Genomic DNA, 27,446 nt, shown 5'->3' with positions numbered 1-27,446 from the left:
CTTTGGTCTGTATATGTATCTTTATGTAATACCATACTATTTTAATTTCTGTAGCTTAGTAGTAAGCTTTGAAATCAGAAAGTATGAGTCCTTTAACTTTGTTCTTTTTCCAGTTTGTTTCTGGATCCCTTACAATTCCATATGAGTTTGAGGATTGGCTTTTCCATTACTGCAAAAAAAAAAAAAAAAAAAAAAAAAAAGTTGAAATTTTGATAGGGATGCATTGAATTTATAGATCACTTTGGATGACATTGCCGTCTCAACAATGCCTCATAGTTTAACATCAGACCTGTGTGATAATCTCAGTTCTGCTACTTTACATGCTGAATATGAACTTGAACAGATTCCATTACCTCGCTGAACCTGTCCCCTTATATGGAAAACATAGATAATAATAAGATCTACCTTGGAATGTTATTGTGATGATTAAAGAGATAATGTATGTTACTGCAAGAAGTGCATGTTACTATTGTTATTGGTGGCATTAATAATCTGCTTTCTAATGTAAAAATCTCCTTTGTATGAAATAATAACTCTGGCAGATGATCCTTGACCCTTATATAGGGAAGTACCCATTGTACAGTAAAAAAAATTCAGCCCTGGAGTCAGGGAGATCTGTGTTCAAATTCTGGCTCTGCCCTTTCCTAGCTGTGAGACTTTGAGAAATATACTTGGCTACTCTGAGCTCCTACCTCAGAGACTGTTAGGAAGCTCAATAAGATAATGGCTATAATGTAGCTAGCACAGCAATTGATGGGTAATATATATTGTTCGATTCCTCTTTGGTTATTAGAAAGGATTGATCTAAAATGAGTTTCCTTGTAATTTCTACCTATTCTGTCTTTTTGGAGCAGTAGGGCAAGTCCAGCCCCACCTCACTGACAGTCTACCAATTTTTTTTTTTTTTTTGGTTGGTCTTATTATCTATTTTGAGCAGGTAATATTTGCACAAGGGAAGTATTACAACAGAGCCAAGGGGAAACATGAAGAAGAAGTTACTTGTGTATTCTTCTAAAGACTGACTATGAATCCACAGGCCACTATGCATATGTGTGTGTTCCCCTTCAGTGCAAAAGTAGCATGCCACAGGACATAAAATCTATGTTTTATCCAGCTGGTGATCTATCCTGAAGATTGTACCAGATTCATGTGTCTAGATCTGCCTCTTTTCACAGGTGGGAGAATGTTCCATAGTAAAGATGCCCTGGTAATGGATGGCTCCTTCTCCCTATTGAGTCCACCAAATTTTGAAGACAGTTGTCATATTGTCTTTTTTCCTTCAGCCTAAAGTGCCCCCAGTTCCTTTAGAACAAGGGTCAGCAAATTAAAGCGTCAGATGCTAAATATTTTAGGCTTCAAAGGCTAAGAGACAAAACCAAGAATAGCATGTAGGTATAACGAGAGAAAACAAATTTCTGCAAAATTTTAATCAATGAAACTCAAAATATAATGAGTACAACTTTTGTAATATAGATCCATGCATGAGAAGAATGGGGTTGTTTGCGGGGGTAGGGGATAACATTTTGCTTAATTTGGGTTTAAAGTTAATACCCCCTCTCACCAAATTGATGGTGTATGTTCAGCTATAAACGCAATTCTTAACTTTTGGGCTCTAAAAGCAAGCAGTAGGTCATAATGGGCCCTCAGGCCATAGCTCAGCGACCCTGCTTCTGTCCTTTCTGCTATGTCGTTGTCTCCAGTCTTGGCAACTCCAGTACTCCTCCCTGCCTCCATGTTTGCTGTGGCCCTCCTTAAAGGATCTCCAAAAGAATGGATCCCAATTCTCTGTCCAGCCTTCATTCAAGCATTTACCATGCAACTATTTTGTACGTGGTATGTCCCAGGCTGCCGCACTCTCAACTCCTTACTTCCTCCCTTAGTCCTGGCATGGGCTAAGTGGCAGCCATGGTTGAAGGGTTAAAACCCAGTGCCCCAAGCCAGGGAAGAGAGACTGAAAAGACCAAAAGGTGAGAGGCAATTGAGGAGACAGGAGGAATGGAATGCCCATTTTGTGAATTCACTGCATTTTGCAAGGAACAGCTACATTGGCAAAGCAGCAGATGGAGTAGTATTTGAGTAGGACCCCGGAGACCCCTTACTCAATGTGCAAGCTTGGTCTACTTGATTCGTAGAGTTGAGAGGAGAGCATGCCAGAAAACCGCATCCAGCATTCAAATTCTATAATAAAATCTGTGACCTTTGAAAACAACCCACTCTACTCCTCTCACTGTGGCCAGAGGCAATGATATCCTTTAAGTGTTTGCCAAAGCAATAAAACTCTGAGACTTCCCTGCTTGGAGCAGTATTGCTGTTTTAAAGCAAAAAGAGAAATGGGAAGAGGTGGGGCATGGATACATTTGCTTTATTTCCAACATAAGGAGAGAAAACTTGAGCAAGCTTTGATGTCTATGTTTTCTCCAAACTTGGGGCAAGGAGGGGGACTTTTATTTGTAGCTGAGAGTCCCATAAATATGCCTTTTAGAAGCTTTTCCTGGACCCAGGCTCCTGTAGATAGACCTCTCAAACTCCATTTTAATTTGTACTTTCATTTTTAGTTAATTTAGGAGTGCCGAGTGTGGTGGCTCACACCTGTAATCCCAGCACTTTGGGAGGCCAAGGCAGGCATATCACCTGAGGTCAGGAGGTTGAGACCAGCCCAGTCAACATAGTGAAACCCTGTCTCTACTAAAAATACAAAATTAGCCAGGCGTGGTGGCGCACGCCTGTAATCCCAGCTATTTGGGAGGCTGAGGCAGGAGAATCACTTGAACCCAGGAGGTGGAGGTTGCAGTGAGCCGAGATCACGCCATTGCACTCCAGCCTAGGCAACAAGAGCAAAACTCTATCTAACAACAACAATAAAAAATTTAGGAGTAAGAGCTCTGAACTGAGGATCATGAGATGTTGGCTCTGACTCTAGGTCTGCCACTGTGTGCAGCCCTGGGGAGGTCCTGTCTCCTCTCTGGGTCTTAGTTTCGATATCTGTAAAGTAAGAATGGGATCAGATAATCTCAAAGGCCTCAAATTGCTCTGTGATTCTGTCAGTCTGTGGGTATAAGGTGATGGCCCAAAATGTCTGAATAGCTTACAGAGGTTTTTATTGCTAAAAGTTAACAAAGTGAAATATTTTGTATATATCATGTTTAAAAACAATCAGTTACACAACTGCAAGGAATTTGATTAACTGACTCGTGAAGTATACACGATGTGGAAGAGAAAGTCTCCCTGAAGAACTGAAGGATCTATGTCATAAGAACTTTTAGGATATGGCTGACCTGTCTATGAGGTAAATAATGATGACAGTTCACTATGCTATTTGTTGTCTTTTAATAGTGATGAATTTTGGACGTAGACTTCAGGCTAAATTTGAGGGGTATCTGATTATTTTATTTCTGCCCCCTCCCCAGTGGGATTTGGATGCAGAATCTTACTCTTGAATTCCAAAAATAGACTTTGGCTTTGCTGTGCTTGTGGTACTGTACAGCTGTCGCTGCCGCGCACCCAGTTTGTGTAACTGGGCTTTGTGTACTAGGGAGGTAATTGCTAAATCCCTTTCTGATGCCAGAAAAGCTTCTCATTCCTGGAGCCCCCTCAGAGATGGCTGATTTATGAAAAGCTGGAAAAAGAGACTGGAAAGGCATAAGCTCTTGCTACCAAAAGGAAACGTTTTCGCAAGTGACATTTTGACTCGCACTTAAATGATTAGGATGCCATTTAGAGTCTAATTATTGTTCTACCAAATATTCATGGTATTAAATGAATGTTATCTGGGATTAGAGAGGTGGCAGTCATGTGATTACAGCGAATGGACCTATCTTTCCTGGTAGAAATAATACCACTGCCAAATCCATCTTCTTTTCTTGTGAGGGAGGTGATTTGGAGATGTCACCTGCTGTTTTGTGTGGGTGACTCAGGGATCTGCAGCCTGGACTGGCCCCACTTCCCTTCCTAGGCCCACACTGCCATCCCTCTGCTGGACTCCACAAGTGGAAAAGGGGCCAGAATCTAGCTCATGCCACTCAAAGACTCCTATTCACACTGCCTTTGCCATCCACTGGCATGCCCACCCTCATTCCCAGGGGTTCTCATTCTCCCCTTCATCTGCCCTTCAGAACCCTGAAGATCTACTCTTGCTTTGTTTCATAAAAGCCAACCCATTGATAGCCTTCATTGTGGGCCACTCTTTTGAGCATTTCACATGTATTTCTGCATTTAACCCCCATTACAACCCCATGGCTGGGAGTGAGGAGCTTGGATTAAGCCTAGGCAGCCTGGCCCCAGAACCAGTGCCTTTACCATGTGACTGCTCTTTTTGTCCTCACGCCCTGCGAGCTGGGCTTGAGTGATTAAAGCACTCTCTTATATGCCCCCCATGCACAGAACACCTGCCATCTTCTGAAAAGTCCGTTTTCATCAATGCATCTTTTTCACTGGAACCATTATTAAAATGTGAATGCAGCTGGGTATGGTGGCCCAAGCCTGTAATCCCAGCACTTTGGGAGGCCGAGGCGGGCGGATTGCCTGAGGTCAGGAGTCCAAGACCAGCCTGACCAACATGGTGAAACCCCATCTCTACTAAAAATACAAAAAATTAGCTGGGCCTGGTGGCGGGCACCTGTAATCCCAGCTACTCCGGAGGCTGAGGCAGGCGAATCGCTTGATCCCAGGAGGCGGAGCTTGCACTGAGCTAAGATTATGCTACCACACTCCAGCCTGGGTGACAGAGCAAGACCCTGTCTCAAAATAAATAAATATTAAAAAAATAAAAAATGTGAATGCTTTTATTTTATGTTCTCCATCTCCCCACAACATTAAAACTGCAGTTTTTTACTCTGTCCCATACACATACGGTAGGGTTCTTAAAAAGGGATAGGCAAACATAACTGGGATGAGCAAACAGCCTAAGGGGCGACGGTTGTGGATAGCAAAAGCCCCCAGTGACAACCCACATTCCTTTTTACCATGGGTGCATTTTTTTGGCAGGGAGTCTCCTTTTGTAGTTGAGGTATGGTTGACCTGAGCTGCTTAGGGGTTTATGTAATCTTCATGTTTACAGAAACATAGGGGAGGACATGTTATATATCCAGGCAGCATGCTTGGCATCAGCATTTCAGGAGCATCTGAAGCTGTCTGGGTGCTTTTCCAAAGCCGGCGTGCCGTCACTGTATCTCATAAGATGCCAAGAGCCCACTGGCAGGCAGCGCCATCGGCTGTGATGCCAGAGCTCACACACCTCTGAATTGGGGTGGAGGGCTAATCTGTAATTGACCCAGATTTCCTAACTCTCTTTAGGACACCCTCATGGCTTGTTAGGGGAGGTGGGTTGTTATCATTATGAGAAAGAGGTCCAAACTAGGAGGGAACTGGGAGAGATGCTGCCTGTAGAGGAAACACAGGACTCATGTAATCTTTGTCGATTGAGAACTTTGCGATGGGCTGGAGACGTGGCACCACTGGCTGCCGTGGTGCTGGTGGATATCGTGGGATCAGTAAAGTTGATTGACACTTCTACTAGCTGGAAAGGTCTCAGTCCTTAGTAGCCTCAAGCAAGGGTCCCCATTAGCAGCAAAAAAAAAACCATATCGCTGAGTCTCTGAAACAGTTCAAGAAGCATGTGGCCTTTTTAGGGGCCTTTTATTTAGTTGTCCTTTGCTTTCTGCAGCATGAGTGGGCCTGATAAATGAAGTGTGAGTGGCACAATATAATTAAAGTTTCAGAGGCAGTAGTGTTGTGGTGAAGAGCTCAGTCTCTGGAAGCAGACCGCTTCACTCCCAGCTGGCTCCACCACCAACTCTGAGGCCCGCGTACCCCCTTAACAACTCTGCATCTCAGTTTCCTCACCTGCAAATGGACGATGATAAAGGGGCCTACCTGCCTTGTACTTTGCAGGGTCCTTAGGGTCACCCGATGAGGCGATGCTTGTAAAGTAATTAAAATAGTGCCTGGCTACAGAGTAAGTGTTACCACACTTGTTAAAGTAATAAAGAATAAGCGTACATTCCGGTCCAGTTCTGTAAAGTTGTGCCCTCTTCTCAAGGGTCTCAGATTGAATCCTTTTCTAAAATGAGGAAACATTTCACAAAGTTCTGTAAATATTTTGTAAAGATATTTATTTCTGATATAATGCATTGTAAATTTGAGTTTTCATACATTGAATCTGGGTAAAGTGATAGGTATGATACAATTTGTTGTGTTTCCATTCCTAATATAAGAATGTTAAAATTTTTAAAAAGGAATAATAGCTAACTTTTGTTTAGTACTCACTAGCCTGTTTCTGAGGAGCTATTTCCTGTGGCATTGTATGTAGTAACTAATTTAATCTTAGTAACTCTCTGCATTAATTACTGTCATAGTTCCCATTTTACAGTGGGGAATCTAGGCACACAGTGGTTAATTGCTTGCCTGAATTCACACACCCAATCTGTTGTGCACCTTGAAACTGTATTTCTAGCTGCCATTCAGGTTGTGTATTCCCTATTCTGAAGGGGTCTCAGGCAGAAGCTCTACAACTTGTTGGGGGCTGGAAGGTAAGGGTTGTTACAGGAGGAGCCTGAAGTGTTTGAATGGGCGTACCTTCGGGGCCTTGGCTGTAGGTGACGGAACCGGACTTGTTAAGCAGAAAAGTAACTTATCCATCTGCACTGCTAAGCTCACCAGTTCCACCAGAGGCTGAAGAAGAGACTGGAACAGATTCAGGGAGACAAGGGCCCTGCCCCAATTTGGGAGGTCCCAGCTCACTCAGGTTGCTTGGAACGAGGTCCAGAGGCCCCTTCCCTGCCTCCCTACCTGCAGATTCAGAGGCTGGCAGGAGCCTGTGATTGGCTGTCTGCGTGCCACGCGTGTGCCACATTCCTATCGCTTCTCTTCTTGGGAGTGCCTGCTCGTCCCCCCTGCCAAAATCAGAAGAGTTTTGAAGTAACAGGCAGCCAGAATGACAAGGGCCCTCTCCTTTGAGGGCTTCAACTAGATGCTCCCCAAGTGATCTCCAGCCACAGGATCCCGTGATTCTACTCCTGATGAGGACTGGGGCTGTTTTTCTTTCCTGTAGCACCTGGAATGCAGTTCTATACCAATTAGACCTCCGGTGAATGTGCTTCACAGAGTTTAATGAGGCTGTTAGCCTTTGGCATGCAAGAAAAGAAGGGTGCATACTTATTTATAGCATCTAGCTTTTTGATTCAGAACAGGCTGTTTCAGCTGCAGAGCTCCTTTTGTTGATCAGGAAAACAGTTGATATTTATCATTCCTCTTAGCAAAAGGAGGACAAAAAAACCATTTAAACATATAAATGTTTAAGTACTTAGTGTTTAAGTACTTACTAAGTATATTGAAGTACTTGGTGGTGTTATTGCAATGTATTGGTTGAGTAGGGCTGTTAGAATAATCCTTATTTTTGATTATCTACCATCTCTCCACATACCGGCTCCCGTGTCTTATTTCAGCCACAGTGATCATTCTCATCTCCTCCTCCTCCATCGTCCCTCATCCCCATCCCCAAGTCAGTTTCTAGGTATTGCTAGCTTTTCACTGCTTAGCATCCTCCATCACACTTGTCCTCCCCTACTTAGTCCCAGCCCATGCCTCCCAGACCTGGGTTACGTCTCTCCCGCCACCCTGTCTTGCCTACTTGGTCTCAGCATGCTGCTTTCATTTCTGCCTCCCCGCTGTGCTCCTTAAAGGCACAGTGACACCTTCCTCAGTACAGCAAAGCAGCTAAGAGGGCCCTGGGTTCAGGTTCAGATTCCAGGTCTGCTGCTTGGTGTCCGCACTAGTGAGGAGTATATTCAGATGTAATTAACAAAACCGGCATGCAGTGGCTTAGCCAAAGAGGAATTTATTTGGTTCCCCCTGCAAGAAGCCTGTGAGAGGCTGGTGCAGCAGCTGCAGCGCCTCATGGCATCAGGGCCACGCGCTTTCTCTTTCTGCTCAGTGTTCCTGGCCACCCTACTTCCGGCTGTGAAGGGGCAGGGCTGAGGGCAAAGTGTGTGCTGGCAGAGAATGCCCTGCTTTTAAAGGACTCTCCTGGAGGCCTCGCCCAGCCACTCCTGCCGATGTCCCATGGCGTAGGATGAGGCCCGCAGCCAGCCCTGAGCTGAACACATTGCCCGTGCTCACCTTGCTCAAGGTCTTCGGATGCCCACCCTGTGCCATCGCCAAGCACTAGGTGCTTGTTAATGCTTATTACTTTGCTTTTAAATAGAATATGTTTTTGTCAGAACAGCTTTTCACAGTAAACCAACTAGCGTGATATTTACTGTGTGACCTCTGTATATATCATTTAAAATTCTAGAATTCTTTTCTCTCCTCTCCCACCACCTCACTTTACCTTTACCCATTTGTCACCTTCACTGCAGCTCCTTGCCCTCCTTCCTTCACTGTCCGTGAATCCTGAACATCCCATCATTTTCCTGTGCTCCTGCACTGGCCTCCTAGCAGCACAAGAGAAGGTGGCAACACAGTGGTGCAGGCTCCACTGCGTGGTTGCACCAGTCTCTGAGCTGACCCTGCTGTGAGCCTTCTCTCCCCTTTGGTGGAGGGGGATTTTGTTGTTGTTTAAACCTTTTCTATTTTTTGCATTGTTTTTCTTTTTCTTTTCTTTTCTTTTCTTTTTTTTTTTTTTTTTTTTTTTTTTGAGACAGGGTGGTCTTGCTCTGTTGCCCAGGCTGGAATGCAGTGGTACGACGATCACAGCTCGCTGCAGCCTCGGCCTCCTGGGCTCAAGCTATTCTCCCTCCTCAGCCTCCTGAGTAACTGGGACTACAGGTGTGCACTACCATACCCAGCTAATTTTTACTAATTTTTTTTTGTAGAGACAGGGGTCTCGCTATGTTGCCTTAGCTGGTCTCGAACTCCTGGCCTCAAGTGATCCTCCTGCCTCAGCCTCCCTAGTGCTGAGATTACAGGTGTGAGCCACTGCGCCCAGCCGCCTCTGTTCTTTTTAAAACCTCCTGCCATTATTCTTTTCTTTTCCTCCCAGCACCCACCTCATTCCATCTTTACAGAGAAAACTGGCTGGGCCCGACACCACCTGCCATTCTCTCCTCCTTATCTGGAGGATCTTGCCTCTGTAGGAGAAGGCCTCTCAGCAGGGATACATTTGTTCCGGGGACCTGGCTCTCTCTAGTCTTCTGGGACCTAATTTATCTCCCCAGAGTCTTCACTCTGCATGCTGGTTCTGCTCATGTTAGCGAGAGGCTTGAGTTGCCTCTATGAAAAATTAACACATAGATAACCTTTCTTCACCCCACACATCCTTCCTTCATACCTCATCTCCATCTTTTCTTTGCTTATTGGTCCCCATGGCCTGTGTTCTCCTCCCGTGTCCCCTAAAGCCACACGTGCGGAGCTCGTCACCTGATTGATTGTGGTGGCTTCTTGGCCTCCGTTGCCGCTGGCCCCATTGGCCCCTTCTCGGGTCCCTCTCTGTGTTGTGACACTGCTGCATGCCCTCCCACCCAGATCCCTTCTTCGCCCTCCTTTCCAGATCCCTTTTCTCTCCCTTTCCATGGTCTGGCCCCACTGCCTTGCCTCTGAATACTCTTCTGGACTGATCTGATCTCTTCTAGTAACTTCAGCTCTTTTCTCAAATGTTTGTCTTCTGTTAGATCTTTTTCTTGAGGTCCCAGAATGTCTTTGGTAAATTACCTCATGATGCCTTGAACTCAGTATTTCCCGTGCTAAACTCATTCATGACAGCTTCCTTCCCCATTCTCCCTTTCTCCTAAAAAAAAACACCTCCCCTTCTCTCCCTCTCTCTCAAACACACACACACACACTCCACACACTCTCTCTCTCTCACACACACACACACACAATCACACTCGTGCATACACAAGGGCCTTCTGTGGCATGGATTCTCCCCCAGGTATGCAAGCCAGAAACTCTGGGCACCTCCTGTGCCTCCCCAGTCCCCGCATGCTTCCACAGGTGACCCATCCTTGCTGATTTGACCTCGGACACATTTCTTGATTCTGAAACCCCTGGACCATTCTATCCACTTTGTTCCTGGCCTGCCTCCATCAGGGTCTTCCACCTCACCCCACTCACCCCAGTCCCCCACGATCTTCCTAAAGCTCTAACGTCATCATGTCACTCTGTGCAGGGACCAGAGGCTCCTCGCTGACTGAGAGGGAAGTCCGTTTGTAGATTACTCACCACGGCAGGCAATGCACCAGTACTGAGAAGATAAAGAAGTTGTGGTTTCTGCCTTTGATGGTGTCTCATAGTGGGGCTGGGCTGGGGAAGGCCCAGCTCAGTTTCTATTCTCCCTGATGCCATTCCTGATTCCTGGGATCACCTCACCACAGTCCTGTTTCTCGCCCTGGGGGCACTCCTGAGTTTGTCTTTGTCTTTGTGTTGTTGGTGTATTTGCCTCTTTTCCTGTGCCAGATACAAAGCTACTCGAGGGCAGGGATTGTCACAGCTCTGGTCAGTTGTAGGTTGTCCTGGCCACCGGCATGGTGCATCATCCTGTGTGGGGACTCCGTAGGAGCCGTTTGGTGGTGGATTATGTTTTAAGCATTCAAGGGAAGCAGATTTTATGGGACTTACCTTAGTGTGCATAGATACAAACTCACACTTGTGCAGTTGTGGCACCAGTGATTCTCAGATGTCTGCATTTGTTTTTCTTTCCCAACCAGTGCCTAGAAAGAGCCATGAAGTTTGCCTTTGAGGAATTCCACCTGTGGTACCAGTTTGCTCTGTCCCTGATGGCTGCTGGAAAAGTGAGTCCCTTTTGTGATGGGCAGTTTTTTATGCCTTTCCTATTAAGGCCAAAGAGTTGAATGTCATGGAATTGCACGGAATGATAGACTTTGTGGAAGTCTTTCGAGCCACTCTGAGAAACTATCGTGGTCCGTTCTCAGTGAACAATCAGATTTAATTGTTTGGGGAGCCAAGATGGACTTATCACTGAGAAGAAAAATTCTGAAATATTTGTCTTTTTCCAGTCATTGTGACTTCATCAGGTGTCATGGACATGGCTTAAACTAGAGCTGATGTTTTACACAGACACCTCCACTCATCTGAGAGTTAAGCTGATTCCTGGAGGGGAAACCTGTTGGTTATCTTGAGCAATGTGTTATATTAGGCAGTGCATGATACTGGATGAAAATGTGGGCTGAGGGAGTCCAACGGCAGGATAGAAGCTTGATGCTGCTCTCCCAGCTGAGTGACCCAGGCAAGTTACTGAGCAGCTCAGTTTCCTCGGTAAAATGGAGTAAGAACAGCACCTGCTCCATAGATGTGTTATCAGGAGAATGAGATGCTACACCAGAGGTGTTTAGAGGCACGCTCCTTGCTGTGTATACACTCAACAGAGGTCGTAGCTATTGTTTTTCTTGCTAATTTGGGCCATTTAGCGAATGAAGCCTGAGATGGAAGATTATTTGAGCTAAGTGAATTCAGAAATTCAGTATTTTGTGCCTTAAATTAGATATTTACCTTTTATAAGAACAAACTTCCACCATCTTTATGTTTTTCTTAATTTTCCAATAGCTACACAAGTATGGAATGAAATTCAGGTGGCGCCAGAGAAGCATTCCTGCTGGCTTTTAACCCAGTGTACTCCCCAGTCACTCAGAAGCCGCAGGCTCTGGTTTTCATGCACCTCAGGCCCCCGCTTGCTTGGGCTTAAAGTTGGACAAGCCCACGAGGAGGTCACCCTGACCAAAAACCCCTCTGAGAAGGCTGTAGTATTCGGTTCTGTCAAACACTTTGAGTTTCACGGAAATAATCTTCTCTTGCCAAGTCTGCCCGTGCCGTGAAGGTGCTGAAAGAGTGTATCCGCCTGAAGCCAGACGATGCCACCATCCCTCTCCTCGCTGCCAAGCTCTGCATGGGCTCCCTGCACTGGGTGAGTAGGGGCGCCCCCCTCCCCGCTCCTGCAGAGGACTCTGGGCCAGGACTGCCCATTTTTTTCATGTCGAGGCACAGAGAGAAAGCGAGGGTGATTCATCAGCTGTACAAAGACAAGACTGTGTAGAGCCACGGACCCTGGGCCTGGGCCCCTGGCCTCCTCAGGCCTCATCCACTCCCCCAAGGACTGAGGAGTACTCTGGGGTACTCCAGGGGTTTTTTCCTATGGGATTGTGCTTCAGGAATAATGATAATAAGACAGAATTATAATTCATACTCCCATACATCTTGCTTTATTCAAGCAATGTGGGACTGAGAAGAGACACGTCACTGAATTAGCATCCCTGGCTGAACCTGGTTTGTTTTTGCTTTTGTTTTTGTTTTTGAGACAGGGTCTTGCTCTGTCACCCAGGCTGGAGTGCACGATCAGAGCTCACTGCAGCCTCAACCTTTTGGGCTCGAGTCATCCTTTCACCTCAGCCTTCTGAGTAGCTGGGACTACAGGTGTGCTCCACTGCACCCGGCTAATTTTTTAATTTTTTTGTAGAGACAGGGTCTTACTCTGTTGCCTAGGCTGGGAGCCTGGGACTTTCTACAGAGCAAGGAGTCACCCTATATTTCAGCTCATATGTTAAATTCAACTGTCTTCATTTCTATTCCTTCACATACGCGTTTTTCTTCAAATATTCTTGTTCAGATTTGAATTTGGCAATACCCTGATTTGTAACAATTCTAGTACCTCAGAAAATACATCATTTGAGTAGAAAATAGAAAACTCAGTCTAATTGCCGAGATGGTGGTATAGATAATTGCCACATACGATAGGGTTCTAATTTCTTTTCTTTAACTTCATGTCAAGATTAGCAATAAAAAGGATTTGCTCAAAAAAGACCGAAGCATCTTACAAACTCAGGTTGTTCACCCTTATATCCTTGCTCTTTGGTTTTTCCATGTATTCTCACCCAGCAGGAGAAAAGTAAGCCTAGTGAAGAGTGTTCCACTTTAGTTCCATTTTGCTTGGGAAAATGTAGAAAAGATGTTTTGAAAGCACAGGCTCTCACCTGAAACACACAGCTGTGAAAGTGTAGTTTGGTCACGTGGGTTTTGACAGTTTGGGGCTGTGAGCAGGCAAGGGGATGGTGCAGGCGGTTCCAGGAGTGGGCAGGCGGAGGAGTGGACACAACCTTTGCATTTGGAACGTGCCAGTTCCCAGCAGTGACTACTGCCCTCCTCCCAGCTCTGGCTTTATTTATTACTGTAACATATACATCTTGAAATGCCTTAAATAGACCTCTTTTTTTTAAAAAAAATAAGAGTAACAAATCTTTTCTGTATATTTTTTCTTGCATTTTTATTATTAAAATTTCCAAATACCACAAAACTCAAGAGTATATGAACTCCAGTGTCTTATCACCCAACTTCAATATCATCAACATTTGCCATACTTCAATGGAACAAATCTTACTCTTTTTGCCTCTAATGAATTGTGCACCAGGTCTTATTGTGGGTGTAGTTTACAGGTGCACATTTTCTCATTGGAATCTGCTGGCACAAGGTACATGTGTTGTGGTTTGTAAAATAAGTGGATGGAGTTTTGAAATTTATAACAGCTCATGGCAAAGAGAATCCAAGCCTAAATGGATTCTTTATATCCTGGGTAGGGGGGGAAAGAAAGGCTCAAACATAAAACATTTCAAGAACTTGATTCTTTACAAATATATTCAGTTCAACTTCTGCATACCTAGCACAACTTCATTATAGAACCAGTCAGTAAAAAATAAAGATGAAAAAGATAGACCCCCACCAAATATGAAAGCAACTTTGGAAAAGAAGGCAAATAAGCAGTAAGAAAAACTTTAAGGAGAAAAAGCAAGGTAGGAATCCTGCGAACTGTTAGAGAGCTCAAGAAAGAAAACAGAATCACCAGAGTGGGATTGGGAGATTTGAGAGTCATTTTCAAAGTGACTCATCAGAAATCCAATTTTGGCAGCAGACGCTTATGGGAACTCATGTTAGAAATTCTGCAGGTTGTTGTTGTTTTTAACTTGTCTCATTTTTCAGTTGGAAGAGGCTGAAAAGTTTGCCAAAACTGTCGTTGATGTGGGAGAGAAAACGTCAGAGTTCAAGGCCAAAGGCTACTTAGCTCTGGGGCTCACGTACAGTCTGCAGGCCACTGACGGTGAGAGACGTCCCACCCCCACAGCTGCTGAGCTGCAGGGCTGGACTACCTAAGTCTACCCTGCGGGATTCCCACAGTCCCCTTCTGTCTCAGGAGGGTGCAGAAGCTGGGGCATTCTGGTGTGCCATCCGGTGGGGCCCCTGGTGCTGCTGTCCTCTTTGCTTGGTCTGATGGGAGAATGGGAGGGCAGGGAGGAAGGCCCTGTGCCAGGGCTCCCAGGCCTCATTTTTAGGTACATTATGCTGGTGGCACACTGGGCACCTCACTGCGCTTTGAGGGATGATTCATCCACCTAGCCTTGCACCTGCCCCTGTCCCACCACTTGGTCTGGGCTGTCCTGTGTGAAGGGATGCTGGATCTTAGGTACAGGAATGTGGAAGAGTCAGGGCCAGACACTTCCAGGAAGCTTCCCTTGACTGGTCAGGAAATGCCCCTTCTCCATTTGCACATTTTAATTTGTAGATATGTACATGTGCAGTGCAGCAGCTCACAAGACACCTAGGGGTCTTGGGCGCAGTGATTTTTGGATGTGCTTAGAGTTCTGATGGATGGGATTCTAGCTAAGAAAAAATCTTGTATACTTAAGTTTTCAGTGATATTTGCAGAAAATTTAACAAACTTTTCCTGAACTGTTACTATTCTTTTATCATGTTGTTGTTAAATATAACACAAATGCAAAACAAAAATCCCAGAAACACATGGTTAATTTAATGAATTTTAATTAGTATAAGGCAAAATATCCTGTAGTCATTACCCTGCTGAGGAGCTAGAACCTTGCCAGCCCCCTGGGGAGCCCTCCGTGTGCCCCTCCCAATCACAAACTCCCTTCTCTCCCTTACGAGGAAATACTATCCTGGCTTTTGTAATACTTCATTTTTTCTTTATGGTTTTGTTGTAATTTATTTTACAAATTACTCCAAATTCTTTCCTCTGCCCTAAAATATCAAAGGTCCTGGGAAAGTTGTGCATATTAATTACTTTTCAATATGGATTACTTGCTAATTTTCCATATACACATGGTACATTGGCAATACCCAGCACATAGCTTTTGACATAGTAGACTTTGAGTGAGGGGCAAATTTAATGCCACATATTAACCCATGTAAATTCTTCAGACTCTACCCCTCATTACTCCTGCAACTTTGGGAGAGTTGCTTGACCCTATGGGGCTTCCTTTTCCATTCTTGGGTCAGTTGGGTCCTTTCTGAGGTTCTCTCTAGCTGTGTCACTGCTGTTCTAAGTTAGCCATGGTCTCCAGCCACATTGACCCCCTGGCAGCCTTTCACTGCTCTCAGTCTCATGCCAGGCTGGGAGGTGCCATGTTGGAGGCGTTAGGTAATGGCCTCTTGCAGTTCCAGCCATAAACAGTTTCCTCCAGGACTTTTTCTCTTGCCCTAGTAAAAAGTACCTTTTTCATTCCTAGCCAGGTTTAAGGGGCCATTTCTCACATGCTCTGCACAGGGGAAGTGTTGATTCACAGCGAGGTGGCCTCATGCTTTTGAGCTCATTTTCCATGATCAGTGTTAGGTTTGCCTACTCCATTCCTTGTGTTCACATGAAGGTGTTAAAGGTCCTGGCCATTGCCCAGTGTGAACCAAGCTGGCCTTTCAAGGCAGCAAGCTACTGTCGGTGGCCCAGGACTGCAGCTTCTCAGTGGCAGAAGGAACTCTGAAGGCAAGGCTGTCAAAATCAACACTGCCGGTGCTTGCAACCCTCCCACCCCATCTTCATAGAGCTTGTCGTTCCCCTGAGTTACATGCCTACACTTGAGAGGGCAGTCGTGCTCCTTCTGGAGTTCCCAACTGGTCTTTTGCAAATGGCCCCCATATGCCTGGGAGTACCAAGAGTGACCACCCAACTCACACTGTCCCCTTGGCATTGTTCCACAGTCACACCTAATGAGTGCAGGCACCTTGGGGGTAGGACTGGGCTCTGTTTCCTATCTTCTCCAGGGCCTGGTGCAGGACTGGGCACGTAGGCACTCAGACATTGTTGCTTTTAATCCAGTTGAATGTACAGGTTTTGTGATGGGTTTTGTATTTGTCAAAATTCCCTGATCCCCCATGCCACTGACTAATTGAACCCTTTTCTTAGCTTCTTTGCGAGGGATGCAGGAGGTCCTACAGAGAAAGGCGCTTCTTGCATTTCAGAGGTGAGTGGGAGTTCATCTTTTCACTCGGCTGTACATAATGACACCAAAGTATGATGAGTATAAAAAGAAGAGATATTTATAAAGATTATGTAAACAGTGTTTTACCCCTGAGAGTCTTTCGTCCTGAGCACCGAACACACAGCACACAAACCCTGCTGTATCACTTGTTGCTGTGTCAATCTGCACTCTTAATCTGTTTATCCATTTGGGCACATTTTATTCATTCCTAATAAAGTGATTTCAGCTCAAAAAAGATAGGTATTTTGTATGCCAAGGGAGATGAGTCCTTTATTAAAGACATTTGTCATCATCTAGAGAAGAGATTATTCTTTTCTAGCTTTTTTTTTTTTTTAAAAAAAACATGTCAAACTGCAGGTTTTTGTATAAAGGAATGAGAAGGCCGATTTCAGGAAGTCTCCGAAATACTGAGTGAAGACAGTCAGCCCCAAACTCCCCGCCCCCACCTTGTTCCATAACACCTTGTGCTTCTCTCTGTCATTGTGCCTCTCAGGAAATTAGGAGAAGGCCTTGCAATTATAAAATGCTCGAGTGTCACAGCGTGCCTTCACATCCCTTATTTAATTTGTTGCTTACCACACACAAGTGAGGAAGACGGACAGGCAGTATGTCCCTTGCAGGTCAGGGACTGAGGCGCAGGAGTTACAGGAGCTGCCGGTCCCGCAGCTGTTGAAGTCAGTATGCAGTCAGGGTCTCCTGGCTCTAACACAGTTTCTCCTGCCCCACCATACTACACTGCCCTCATTTTATTCTTGTTACAGGTATAATCACAAAAATGAAATCATCTGGAAGCATAGCCCCATGATGTGAAATCCAGCATGGGTATTGATCCTGTCACTTTAAATATATCTGAGTTACACTGATTTCTTGGAACTGTATTAGAAACTTAGTTACGAATATTTCATGAGGCCTTCCCAATACCTGACAAGCTTCGTTAGACTCTTTCCTTAGAACTGGGGCTGCCTACTGATTTATCATGGTGTCCGTATGCCTTTTTTCATGAAATCATGATCAGTGGTTTCAGTGAGTCTGAAACTCTTCCGTCTCATTTCTGTTTCCTAGCAGGCTTGCCGGTAGCTACTTCAGGTTGCCAGCCCCAGTCTGGGTATTGACAAAAAGTACCAACTGACATCTGCAAACAGATCTCCTGTCTCTGTGCTAAGCTTTTGTTGATGTTCCTCAGCACGGAGTGTGGAAAGCATTTCCATTTCAAATGATTTGGAGTTTTAAATTCTCCAGTCCTAGTTTGTAAAACCCACACATGGATGCTTAAGAAAGTGGTCATTACATCTGTTTCACTTTTCTTAAATCAGCACATCTTACTGGCTCTCTAAAAACAGCCACAGTGGTGGTCTGCCTTGAGCTGCCAGTATAACTTCATGTTATATAACAGCTGCTCCATTGGCCTGAATTCTTTTTTGTTCATCTTTTGCTTAAGTTTAAATTCGAAGAGATTTTTAAAATATTAGTTCATATGGGAATAAAGAGTAATAAAATCCCGCTAACCTAACTGATGATATTGCAGAAGGCTAACCTAAATTAGAATTTGTGTGAAATATAGAATGTTTTTCATTTTATTTCAAGTACACATTAACTAGGACTATTCTAGTGAATTGCAGTCCTAACAAAAATCTTTAAGGGAAAGATTTTAAGTAAGTGAAAATGATTTGTATTACTTCTTAAATGTAAATGGATAATTTAAAACTACTTTGATGAGAAGTACTTTCTCTACTATTTGTTTTAAATATTCTCCCCACAATTCTGTTTATACTAATGTTTTGCATTTTTTGTTTAAAAAGAAAACACAATTCAGGAAGGGATGGGGTTGCAGATATAGCACAAGAAAGTTAACTCTTAATTATGACTGCCAGAATTCAGACATATTTGTTCTCTAGTGGATCCAAAGAGGTGATTTTTGAAGACATCCAGGTTGGGTGGCTGCATCTGAATGTGAGACCCTCACCTGTTCCTACACTCATAAGCTCAACCCAGGCAGCTGAACCAATTCATTTGCCCTGTACTAAAGTATAGTGAAGAAGAACATAATATTGTTTGCAAAGCTTCTGAAGATGCTGAATTGATATGACTTGCTTCTTCTGCAGGCTCTCACATCCTACTGAGAAAAGCCATCCTGAAAACAGTTGAGAGCACCTTTCATTGCATGGCCCACAGTATGCATAAAGCCTGGTGCTCCAGGAGGCAGGGGTGGCATGGTGGTGTTTGTTTATCACTCATTGTGGCACAGGGTACACGATCTTGCTTTGCTTTCCCCTTTCTGTCCTAGCTTGAGTTTAAGTGTGGTATGATGTGTGCATATAGGGTGATCAGCCATCCCAATCTCTTGAGGACTGAGCGTTTTCCCAGAACATGGGACTTGCAGTGCTAAAATCAGGAACATCCTGGACAAACCAGGACAAGTTGGTCACCCTGTGTGAGTAACTAACGAGAGATTCCTGAGCAATAGATTTAACCAGGGTTTGCACTTTTTAAAAAACTTAATGCACGAATCCCATGGCCCCTGTAATCAGGACTGAAGGGAAATTCAAGGAGAATTGGCTAAACAAGGCAGCAAGGTTCTGGCTTTCTCTCATTTGCTGGCTGTTCTTGGACAAGAAGCGTAATAGTCGATAACTTCACAAATTGTAGTTACTATTGTTACAAGATATGTGTCTTATGGACTAGGGTCAGCATTGATCAGCCTTCTCTATATTCTTGGTTCAGCTCTAGAGAATGTTGGAAATGGAATCTAAGAGAGCCCTGGGTTAGATGCCACAACATCCTTGGGTTCTAGCCAGGTGATCTGGGAAGCCCATCCGATGCTTTCCAGTAGCAGCCCAGCATGCCTATCTCTGGGCACTGCTCCCACTGCACGATGATGATGGTCATTCTGGGTCTCTCCCTCTGGGGCGGGGGTGGGAGCTCATCAAGGAAAGGCACTAGCATGATTCATCTCCATGCTCCCCAGAAGTTAGCATAGGGCCTGGCATCACATTATAGATATTGCATAATGTGGATGGGTGGATGGTGGATGGATGGGTAGGTGGATGGTTGGATGGTGGATGGATGGATAGGTGGATGGGTGGGTGGTTGGCTGGGTGGATGGGTGGGTAAGTGGATAAAAGGATGAGTGGGTTCTTCTTCATGGGAGAGAAACTGAATTAATTATGTGGAGGTGCTTTGATAAGGGAAGCATTTTGTGAGCATCCTTGTGGTGACATTTTTAGGTCTTTTAGGTATTTCTGAGCAGTCTAGCCAGGTGTTCAGTTTATGGGCACGGAGTTTATGAGGCTGCTTTAGATTCATTTACAGAGTTCAGAAGGCTTGCAATTTTTCTGATCACTAATGTCCTCTCTCTCATCTGCCTGGCCTGAGGATTTCTGTCCGGCGAGTTGCCTGTGGCATACCAAAGGGGCTTTCCCACAGGAAGCTTAGCTGCTGAAGTTGCTCCACGGGAAGCAAGTATTTTAGCATCTACTTGAGATCAACACAGGGAGCTTTTTCTTGTTTTGTTTGGCATTTGCCTTATTTCCTTCAGAGGGTGAAGTGGTCAGTTGAATTCATTAGCCAAGTTGTAGAAATAAGGTTTTTAAAATGTATATGTTTCAGTTGTGCCTCATTAGAAATTTGGCAGTTGAATATGCATCATTAGCCAAGTTGGAAATCCTTCAGATGTTGCCCTAATGCACTCCAGAAATACCAAGATTTCTAGCACTTCTGGTTTGTTCCTTTCACGGTGCTGTGGTTAACAGAGAAAAATCATTTGATGAGGCCAGCATGGGGCCTTTAGCCAGAACTATCTTTATGTACACCCTCAACTCAACAGATCATTGCCAGCTTTTCAGTTGGTTGGTATTGCATAGAGGCAACCATGACTTGATTTATTCGTGAAGAATATGAATTGAACTGAGAAAATTATAATTCTAAGAAGTTCTTTTTGAGGGTTCTGTAAATTTATTATTTGTGAAAGAAGATAAAATAAATCTAAAAATTTCTTCATAATTGTGTATTATTTTTCCTGAATAATTATGAGAGAAACCATGATTTTTCAATCTCACTTTTATAAACACCAAAGAAAAATATTCTTTGATGTACAAATTCATGGAAAGCCAATATTTGTAAAATTATAAAAGCTGCTATATACTGAGTGGACCTTAGAAATAAGCCATTTAGTAGCTGGGCGTGGTGGCTTATGCCTGTAATCCCAGGGTTTTGGGATGCCAAAGTGGGAGGATCACTTGAGCCTAGTAGTTCCAGACTAGCCTGGATAGCATGTTGAAACCCCGGGTCTACAAAAAATTCTATAAATTAGCTGGGCGTGGGGAGCACGCCTGTGGTCCCAGCACCTTGGGAGGCTAAGATGGGAGGATCGCTTGGGCCCTGGGAGGTTGAGGCTGCAATGAGCAGTGATCATGCCACTGCACTCCAGCCTGGGTGATAGAGTAAGACCCTGTCTGAAAAAGAAAAAGAAAAAAAAAGAGAAATAAGACATGTAAAAGGGTAACACAGGCAATATCAGCTTCAGCCTCTTCAACTAAGCTAAGAAAAGTCCTGAGGCTATGTCTTGAGGCCAAGTGAAGAGTCCCCTGGAATGGAAGTCTATGTGCTTTGCTCCTAAGATTAATATAAGGACAGAGATTAGCTTTGCCTCACCCTGGACCTGCATATGAGCTATTACATTTGCATAAACAATGACCTAAATTAGTGAATTTAGCATATTTTCTGGATGGCAAACACCTGGGAGGTTTGTTAGCTCCCTTCCCTGCAGCAGACAGTCCAATTAAAAGGCCTTATTATTGTAGAAAGCCATCTTTGGCCTGTTTGCCACAGTTGAATCCATAATGATTTGGTTTTCTTTTTTATCTCGAATTTGTTTTCTGCTGGTAGAAGATCCTCCTTTAATCACAGAATGTTGACAGAACAGCATGAAGTTTTGTTTACTATCTGGGTCCCACCTAATTAGTCTGCTCCATGGTGCCTTTTAAAGAAAGTAGAAGTTTGTTTTTCTCTTCCCAGCAGTTAAACACAGAATTATGTCTAGTATGTAGTCAAATTTTGAGTTGCTTATGCTGAAATACAAATGACTTCCACATAGAAGCAGAGAAGACCACGTTTGCAATCAGCTAGGAGGCCAGTATGGTCCCTTCCTGTCTGACGTCAAAGGCCAGTTCTTAAAACTGAGCCTAGTGTCTCACCACACTCTTACACGACAGTTATCTGCAATAAATCAGTGAACGGCATGGAATTTTGTAGAAGCTTCAAAAGACTGAATGAGTGCCTTTCTCTTCCCTTTTTTCACCAAAAACCCAAACCTCATTTTATAAGCAAAGCTGGGTCTTTGATTTTCATATGGTTTCTCTGAAATCTAGAAATTTGGATAAAGTAGCATTAAGGAAGGCCAAGCCAAACTTAACCAAAGCAGCCATCGCCTTGCCAAGTGCACACATGGCTTCACTGCGTCCCAGCACGACACAGAGACCCATCTGCTGGGGAGATCAGACCTCAGGGCCTATGGATTCTTCACCTCGAGGCCCTCCGCAAAGCCGACAAGCTTCAGCTGCCATTTTAGATGCTAGACAAAACACAGAAATGCACTCCTATTCTGTACCTTTATACAGTGGTAAGAGGGAAATGGTTTACATGTGTAGGTGGACAAAGAAGAAGAGTTTAAATGAAGCATTACATAGTTAAATAAATACGGGCCCTTAGTATAAGAATGCAAATGTGGAGAAGACTTGCTTGATAGGGAAAGTAAAAATGGCCTCCTCTCCCATGTACTAATAGCCGTAAATACTTTTTCAGGGCCCACAGCCTGTCACCCACAGATCACCAAGCAGCTTTCTACCTGGCTCTGCAGCTTGCCATCTCCAGACAGGTCAGTTTCTCTAATGTTTCCTATACTTGCTGCACTCTGTATCTTGATACAACTCCTTCAGCTCTTCAGTTTGAAGTGGTAGGTGATCTTCCTTTATTCCATTGAGGCTGACCTGGAGCCAGGAACCCTTCTCAGAGGTTTCAGCAAAGAGCCTGGTGTTTTGGTTGGTTTGAGCATCAGCTGTGAAGACACAGGAGTTCCAGGCTCTGCTATTGGACATTAAATCCACACAGCTGGAGGGCCCAAGCTAGGGTCAGATGGCAACCTGGGGAGCAGCACATGGCATATACCCTGAACCCAGGAGTCATCAAAGAGCCTCTGTCCCTTGCCAACAGGAACCAGGTAGCAGAACCCAGTGCTGAGCTGCATGGTGGGGATTTAGCCCTGATTGGCGTCTGGTTGTCATAAGGGTGTCATTGATTGGCAGGAAGATGCCAGCAGGCAGAGACAAAAGAACCAGGTCCTTTACAATACGTGGAAAACATGAACAGTTACACACCGTGGCTACTCGAAAAAGGGGACTTAACACTATCTCCTTGCGGGAGGGGCAAGTTTTGTCGGCCTTCATCTTCCCAAAGGCAGCTTTTAGATGCTGCCTCTGCCATTCCCGAAACCCTCCTATCCCCTCCCAGCTGTTCTGGGGATGTTGGCCACATGCCTGGCCACCCACCAGGTGCAAGACACTGGTGGTAACCCCAGCACATTCCTGAGTGCTGACTGGGAGGGTGATTCAAAGGTCAGCTCTCCAGACATGCCATTCCCCTGGCAGGCCTGGGCTGAGGTATGCACCTGTCTTCCTGGTTGCTTGGGAATGGCATTGAGAAGTGGCTTCCATTGGCAACCTAGGGACTAAGGAAACCAGGATACCTCCCTGTAAAGGTCCTGTCACCTGACTGTGGCTCACAGCTGGGCTTCTGCAGCAGGTGTGGGCATTGATTGACCATCTGATCTCTCCCCTACGCTGACAGCTTCTCTCGCCTCCTCCATGAAGCCTTGCTCCTGTAGCAGCCTGCACTTCTTCCTTTTGCCCAGCTTTCTTGTTCAGTATCTGTCTTTCTCACTGGACTGTAGGTTCCAGGAACCCATGCCCATCATTGTCATTGCTTTACCCTGGCACTTGGAATGCCACCTGACATGTGTTCAGCACTCAGGAATACTCGCTAAATGAAGGAACCAGCTTTGAATTCCTTCAAGGCAGCTATCCCTTAAAGACATCGTTTTGATCCCTGTATCAGTTTGTCCCTGGTTGCTCTGGTCATCCCTGCAAATCAACATCATGCCTATGCTTTGCCTTTCGACCCACCCATCAATACCAGGTTGAGTGCTATTCACATAGTAGGTTGTCACCTGGGGAAGGATGAGTAAATGGAGCCTTGTGGGTGTGGCAGCAGCCTTTGTGGGCATGTAGTGTCAGAACACCAGAGCTCCGAGGGAGTGTTTCCCTGCTTCCCCAGGGGAGGGGGTTTGACCAGGAGGAGAGGATGGACAGGAATCACTCTCTTGTCAGACACTCAATAGCTGGGTGACCTTTCCCAAGCCATTTCACCTCCCGGGACTTCAGCTTCCTCCCTGTAACTGAAGGATTGGGGTGAATGGTCTCTCTTCCAACTGTGAGAGCTGTGATTCTATGGTTCCAAAGCAGAAAGCCTCCACAGCCAGCAGTTATAACCTAAATCCATCAAGAAAAGAAGTTCATTGAGGAAAAGTAATTGGTTTGGGAAAGAGAAGTCATAGCCTTCTACTAAGGAGGGAGGTTACTGAGGGTTTGGGAAAAAGCAGGAGAGCTGAGAAGAGGCCCCACAGAGGACTGGAGTTGGAGCGAGACCGGAAGCCATCTGTGGGATGGTTGTGCAAGAATGCTTCAGTCCAGAGCTCTATTTCGAAATCTAGCTTCGGGTTCTAATTCTCCCTGGTTACTGCCAAACCTGCATGGAATCCAGGGTGTCACATACCCATTTTGTGTGTATTTTATCAACCCTTGTGCTTGGATGATTTTGAAGAAAGTCTTGAACAGCTGTTGCACTGAAAGGTTCAGGATGTGTCTGGTCCTACATGAATTTGGACACATCTGCTTTGCATGCGGCATTGCAATTTGTTTCTCAGATCAACTTATTTTGGGTTGTAGTTTGGAAAGGTGTGGGGGCCTTTGTTGTTTACTTTTTTGGCATGTTTCCTTGATGTCTAGTGGAGGTCCAAGACAAAGGAACCTGAAAAGAATCACAGGCCTCTGATCACTCGGAAAGCTCTGTTAAAGGTTTTGTAACTTATTAAGCACTTTAATTTCAGTAATACTTGAAAAAATGAGAACAGTTCAGCTAAGGCAGTTTAATTCCACTAAAAATCTCTGACACTTTGTATGTGTCTCCACTTAGAGCAAAATCATCTTGGGCATAATCAAAAGTAGATCAGTTTTGTGGAAAGAATGAGAAAGTGTTTACTCAGGGAGAAGGGAAAGACTTGGAGCAGTATTGGCAGCTACGTAGAGAAACAGGGTCTCCTGTATCACTCTATCAGTCAGAATGTCTTTTGAAGGTGGCTTCTGCTTTCATGTTTGTGGTTAATATCCTGGGGCTGCCATAAAGATTTGGCTTAAAATGTGAATGAGGCACAATGTGAAACAACTCAATATTTGAAGAGAAGCAGACATTGAAAAGATGGCTTCTTTCGCGCGTGTGTGTGTGTGTGTGTGTGTGCGTGTGCATGTGTGTATGTAAAACCTTTTTTGGTTTTGTTTTAAACCAGATCCCAGAGGCTCTGGGGTATGTCCGCCAAGCTCTTCAGCTTCAAGGTGACGATGCCAACTCCCTGCACCTCCTTGCCCTCCTGCTGTCAGCACAGAAGCATTACCATGACGCTCTGAACATCATCGACATGGCCCTGAGTGAATACCCAGAAAATTTCATGTAAGTGATCCTGGGCTTTGGTTTTCCCTTACTCAGAAGTTATTAAATTTACTTCTTCCCCTGCCTTCTTTCCAATCTGTCTAAGTCCCTCATGGACACCCTGGCAGTCAATAATATAAAATCCCCTTTACTGTTATTTTTTCCTGATATTAAAAACAAACTTAGGGCTGGGCGCCGTGGCTCACATCTATAATCCCAGCACTTTGGGAGGCCGAGGTGGGTGGATCACCTGAGGTCAGGAGTTTGAGACCAGCCTGGACAATATGGTGAAGCCCTGTTTCTACTGAAAATATAAAATGTAGCTGGGTGTGGTGGCGGGCGCCTGTAATCCCAGCTCCTCGGGAGGCTGAGGGAGGAGAATTGCTTGAACCTGGGAGGCAGAGGTTGCAGTCAGTGGAGATTGTACCCCTGCACTGCATTCCAGCCTGGGCGACAGAGCGAGATTCCGTCTCAAAAAACAAACAAACAAACAAACAAACAAAAAACTTAGGCTGTTAGGTCATCCTAACATAAGGTCATCCTTATTTTTTTAAAATACTTTATCCACTCTTTCCCAATGTGTACCATTGGAGCACATGAGACAATTTTAGATGGACTGTGGATGAACATTTTTAATAGTTATACATTCCTTTTTTTTTTTGAGACGGAATATCACTCTGTTGCCCAGTCTGTAGTGCAGTGGCATGGTCTCGGCTCACTGCAACCTCCACTTCCCGGGTTCAAGCGATTTTCCTGTCTCAGCTTCCCTAGTAGCTGGGACTACAGGCGCCTGCCACCACACCCAGCTAATTTTTTGTATTTTTAGTAGAGACGGGGTTTCACCATGTTGGTCAGGCTGGCCTTGAACTCCTGACCTCACGATCTGCCCTCCTTGGTCTCCCAAAGTGCTGGGATTACAGGCATGAGCCACTGTGCCCAGCCTAGTTACACATTCTTAAATGTACATTAGAATGTAGTGATTTGATGAAAATTATTGCTCAGGGGGCTATTAAGAATTTTCCAAGTCAATTTAAAGAAAAATATTAAGTAAATATTAAGTAACTTCTGCCAGATATACTTGGATATGGCAGAAGTGATGTTGAACTCCAGTGGGTGAAATCTGGGAAACAGGGCTTTATAGCTTGTTTGTCCTGAGTTACTGAGGGCTTCCACTAGCTCTCGGTGATTCTCCTATTTTAGGCAATTTTGATCAAGATAGCTTCCCTCTCTGTGTCTTAGTTTTATTCTCTAGGAAATGGAAGTTCTTAAACAATCAATATTATACGTAACCTAAGAACTATCACTGTAAACTGTCATATGCTAGAATCATCTACCTACCTTCTTATCTTTCCTCTGAATCACTATAATCCATTGCCTGTTGGTTAGGCTTTGTTGAGAAGGACTTTGTCTTTTGGGCTACTGGGTTACCATTTCATCCTCAGTGGCAGTAGCTTAGTAACCAGTACACAATGGCCAGAAATAGTAAACATTCCTGCACGCTGGAAGGTTCTGATTGTCTACAGAGTTGCAGGGTCAGTAATGGGGCAGGGACTGCTTGGGGTTGGGGAGAAGGGAAAGAATGTAGAAGGTGGCCCAGGGTTGCTCTCTTCACTTTCAGAAGGAAGTGCAGCCACAAACTTTAAGTGGGTCAGCTCTGGCTTTATTTCACTGCCTCATCACCTCGCTGTGTTTTTAATCAGTGCTTTTCAGCAGCTCTCCTTGGAAAATTGGTTCACACATTTCCATTACAAACATTTCTTTGTCTTCAAGTGAAAAGGGCACTTCTTCCCATCGAGAGAATTCTTGTTATAATCCAGGAAACCTCTGACTAGAGATTTCTTTTGTAGGCTCAGCTATTTATGCAGAGTGAATTAAAGAGCTTTGCTGCAGTGTTTTACTTCTTGCAGATCTCAAACTTGCTCTTTTGTACACCAACTATATTTCTGGATTTTACCCCAAGCTGTTTATCCCATGGAACCTTAAAATGGTTAAAGCACTTTAAAAAATATTCGATCCTTTAACCATCGGTAAAGTACAACCTGATGCAATTGAATTCAGTGTCTCTCATCAATATTTATAAAGCTTCATTCCGTGTCTCACCCTCCAACACACACACACACACACACACACACACGCACACACACACAAGCTCTTTCATTAGGCATTGGACTCCAGGGTATGGTTCCTTCTTCCATAGCCTAGGGTGTCATCCAAGAGGAGGCTTATTAAACTAATAGCCATACCACATGGTAAGCAGTAAACAGTGGTGGCTAATATGGTAATGCCTCCAAGTGACAGCAGCTGACAGCCTTTTCAAGTAGTGGAAGTAAGGAACAGCAGTGGAGATATTTGAGGAATGCAAGGCTGTTATTTTAATGTTAAGCCGTAAGCTCAAAAAAGCAAAGCATATGGCAGCAGGTCTGAGAGCAGTCCGTGACTTGTTTGCTTTTTAAATATTTGTATTTCTTTGCGATGGGAAACTTCTTC

The 27,446-nt window shown here is 44.6% G+C and overlaps 1 protein-coding gene and 1 long non-coding RNA gene across 4 annotated transcripts in view, besides 3 other annotated features; one reads left to right on the top strand and one right to left on the bottom strand.

Annotated features, from left to right (window-relative positions):
- TTC7B (tetratricopeptide repeat domain 7B) overlaps positions 1 to 27,446 on the top strand; it is a 291,867-nt gene that overhangs the window by 147,403 nt on the left and 117,018 nt on the right. For all 3 annotated transcript variants that reach the window (NM_001320421.2, NM_001010854.2, NM_001401365.1), the window contains exons 10-15: positions 10,641 to 10,724; positions 11,750 to 11,854; positions 13,918 to 14,035; positions 16,130 to 16,187; positions 22,005 to 22,077; positions 24,820 to 24,980. In NM_001320421.2, coding sequence (NP_001307350.1) covers positions 10,641 to 10,724; positions 11,750 to 11,854; positions 13,918 to 14,035; positions 16,130 to 16,187; positions 22,005 to 22,077; positions 24,820 to 24,980 — 599 coding nt within the window. The remainder of the gene's footprint in view (positions 1 to 10,640; positions 10,725 to 11,749; positions 11,855 to 13,917; positions 14,036 to 16,129; positions 16,188 to 22,004; positions 22,078 to 24,819; positions 24,981 to 27,446) is intronic.
- TTC7B-AS1 (TTC7B antisense RNA 1) lies at positions 20,137 to 26,399 on the bottom strand. The gene is made up of 5 exons (NR_110134.1): positions 26,298 to 26,399; positions 24,030 to 24,284; positions 22,048 to 22,257; positions 21,617 to 21,774; positions 20,137 to 20,656 (listed from the first exon to the last, which is right to left on the bottom strand). It is a non-coding gene; the product is annotated as a TTC7B antisense RNA 1 (long non-coding RNA).
- Positions 21,439 to 22,638: an enhancer, noted in NCBI's record as "CDK7 strongly-dependent group 2 enhancer chr14:91112734-91113933 (GRCh37/hg19 assembly coordinates)". NCBI's record gives its function as "activates an origin of replication core promoter dependent on BRD2, BRD4, P300/CBP, MED14 and CDK7 cofactors, with strong dependence on CDK7, by STARR-seq in HCT116 cells {active_cell/tissue: HCT116}" and the evidence as "EXISTENCE:reporter gene assay evidence [ECO:0000049][PMID:35650434]".
- Positions 25,946 to 26,550: an enhancer, noted in NCBI's record as "OCT4-NANOG-H3K27ac hESC enhancer chr14:91108822-91109426 (GRCh37/hg19 assembly coordinates)". NCBI's record gives its function as "activates a minimal SCP1, AML or CMV promoter by ChIP-STARR-seq in primed H9 embryonic stem cells {active_cell/tissue: H9 hESC(primed)}" and the evidence as "EXISTENCE:reporter gene assay evidence [ECO:0000049][PMID:30033119]".
- Positions 26,551 to 27,155: an enhancer, noted in NCBI's record as "OCT4-NANOG-H3K27ac hESC enhancer chr14:91108217-91108821 (GRCh37/hg19 assembly coordinates)". NCBI's record gives its function as "activates a minimal SCP1, AML or CMV promoter by ChIP-STARR-seq in primed H9 embryonic stem cells {active_cell/tissue: H9 hESC(primed)}" and the evidence as "EXISTENCE:reporter gene assay evidence [ECO:0000049][PMID:30033119]".

The sequence above is a fragment of the Homo sapiens genome, chromosome 14 (assembly GCF_000001405.40).
Source record: "Homo sapiens chromosome 14, GRCh38.p14 Primary Assembly".
NCBI classification, from domain to species: Eukaryota; Metazoa; Chordata; class Mammalia; order Primates; family Hominidae; genus Homo; species Homo sapiens.
This window is presented reverse-complemented; position numbering and strand designations above follow the sequence as displayed.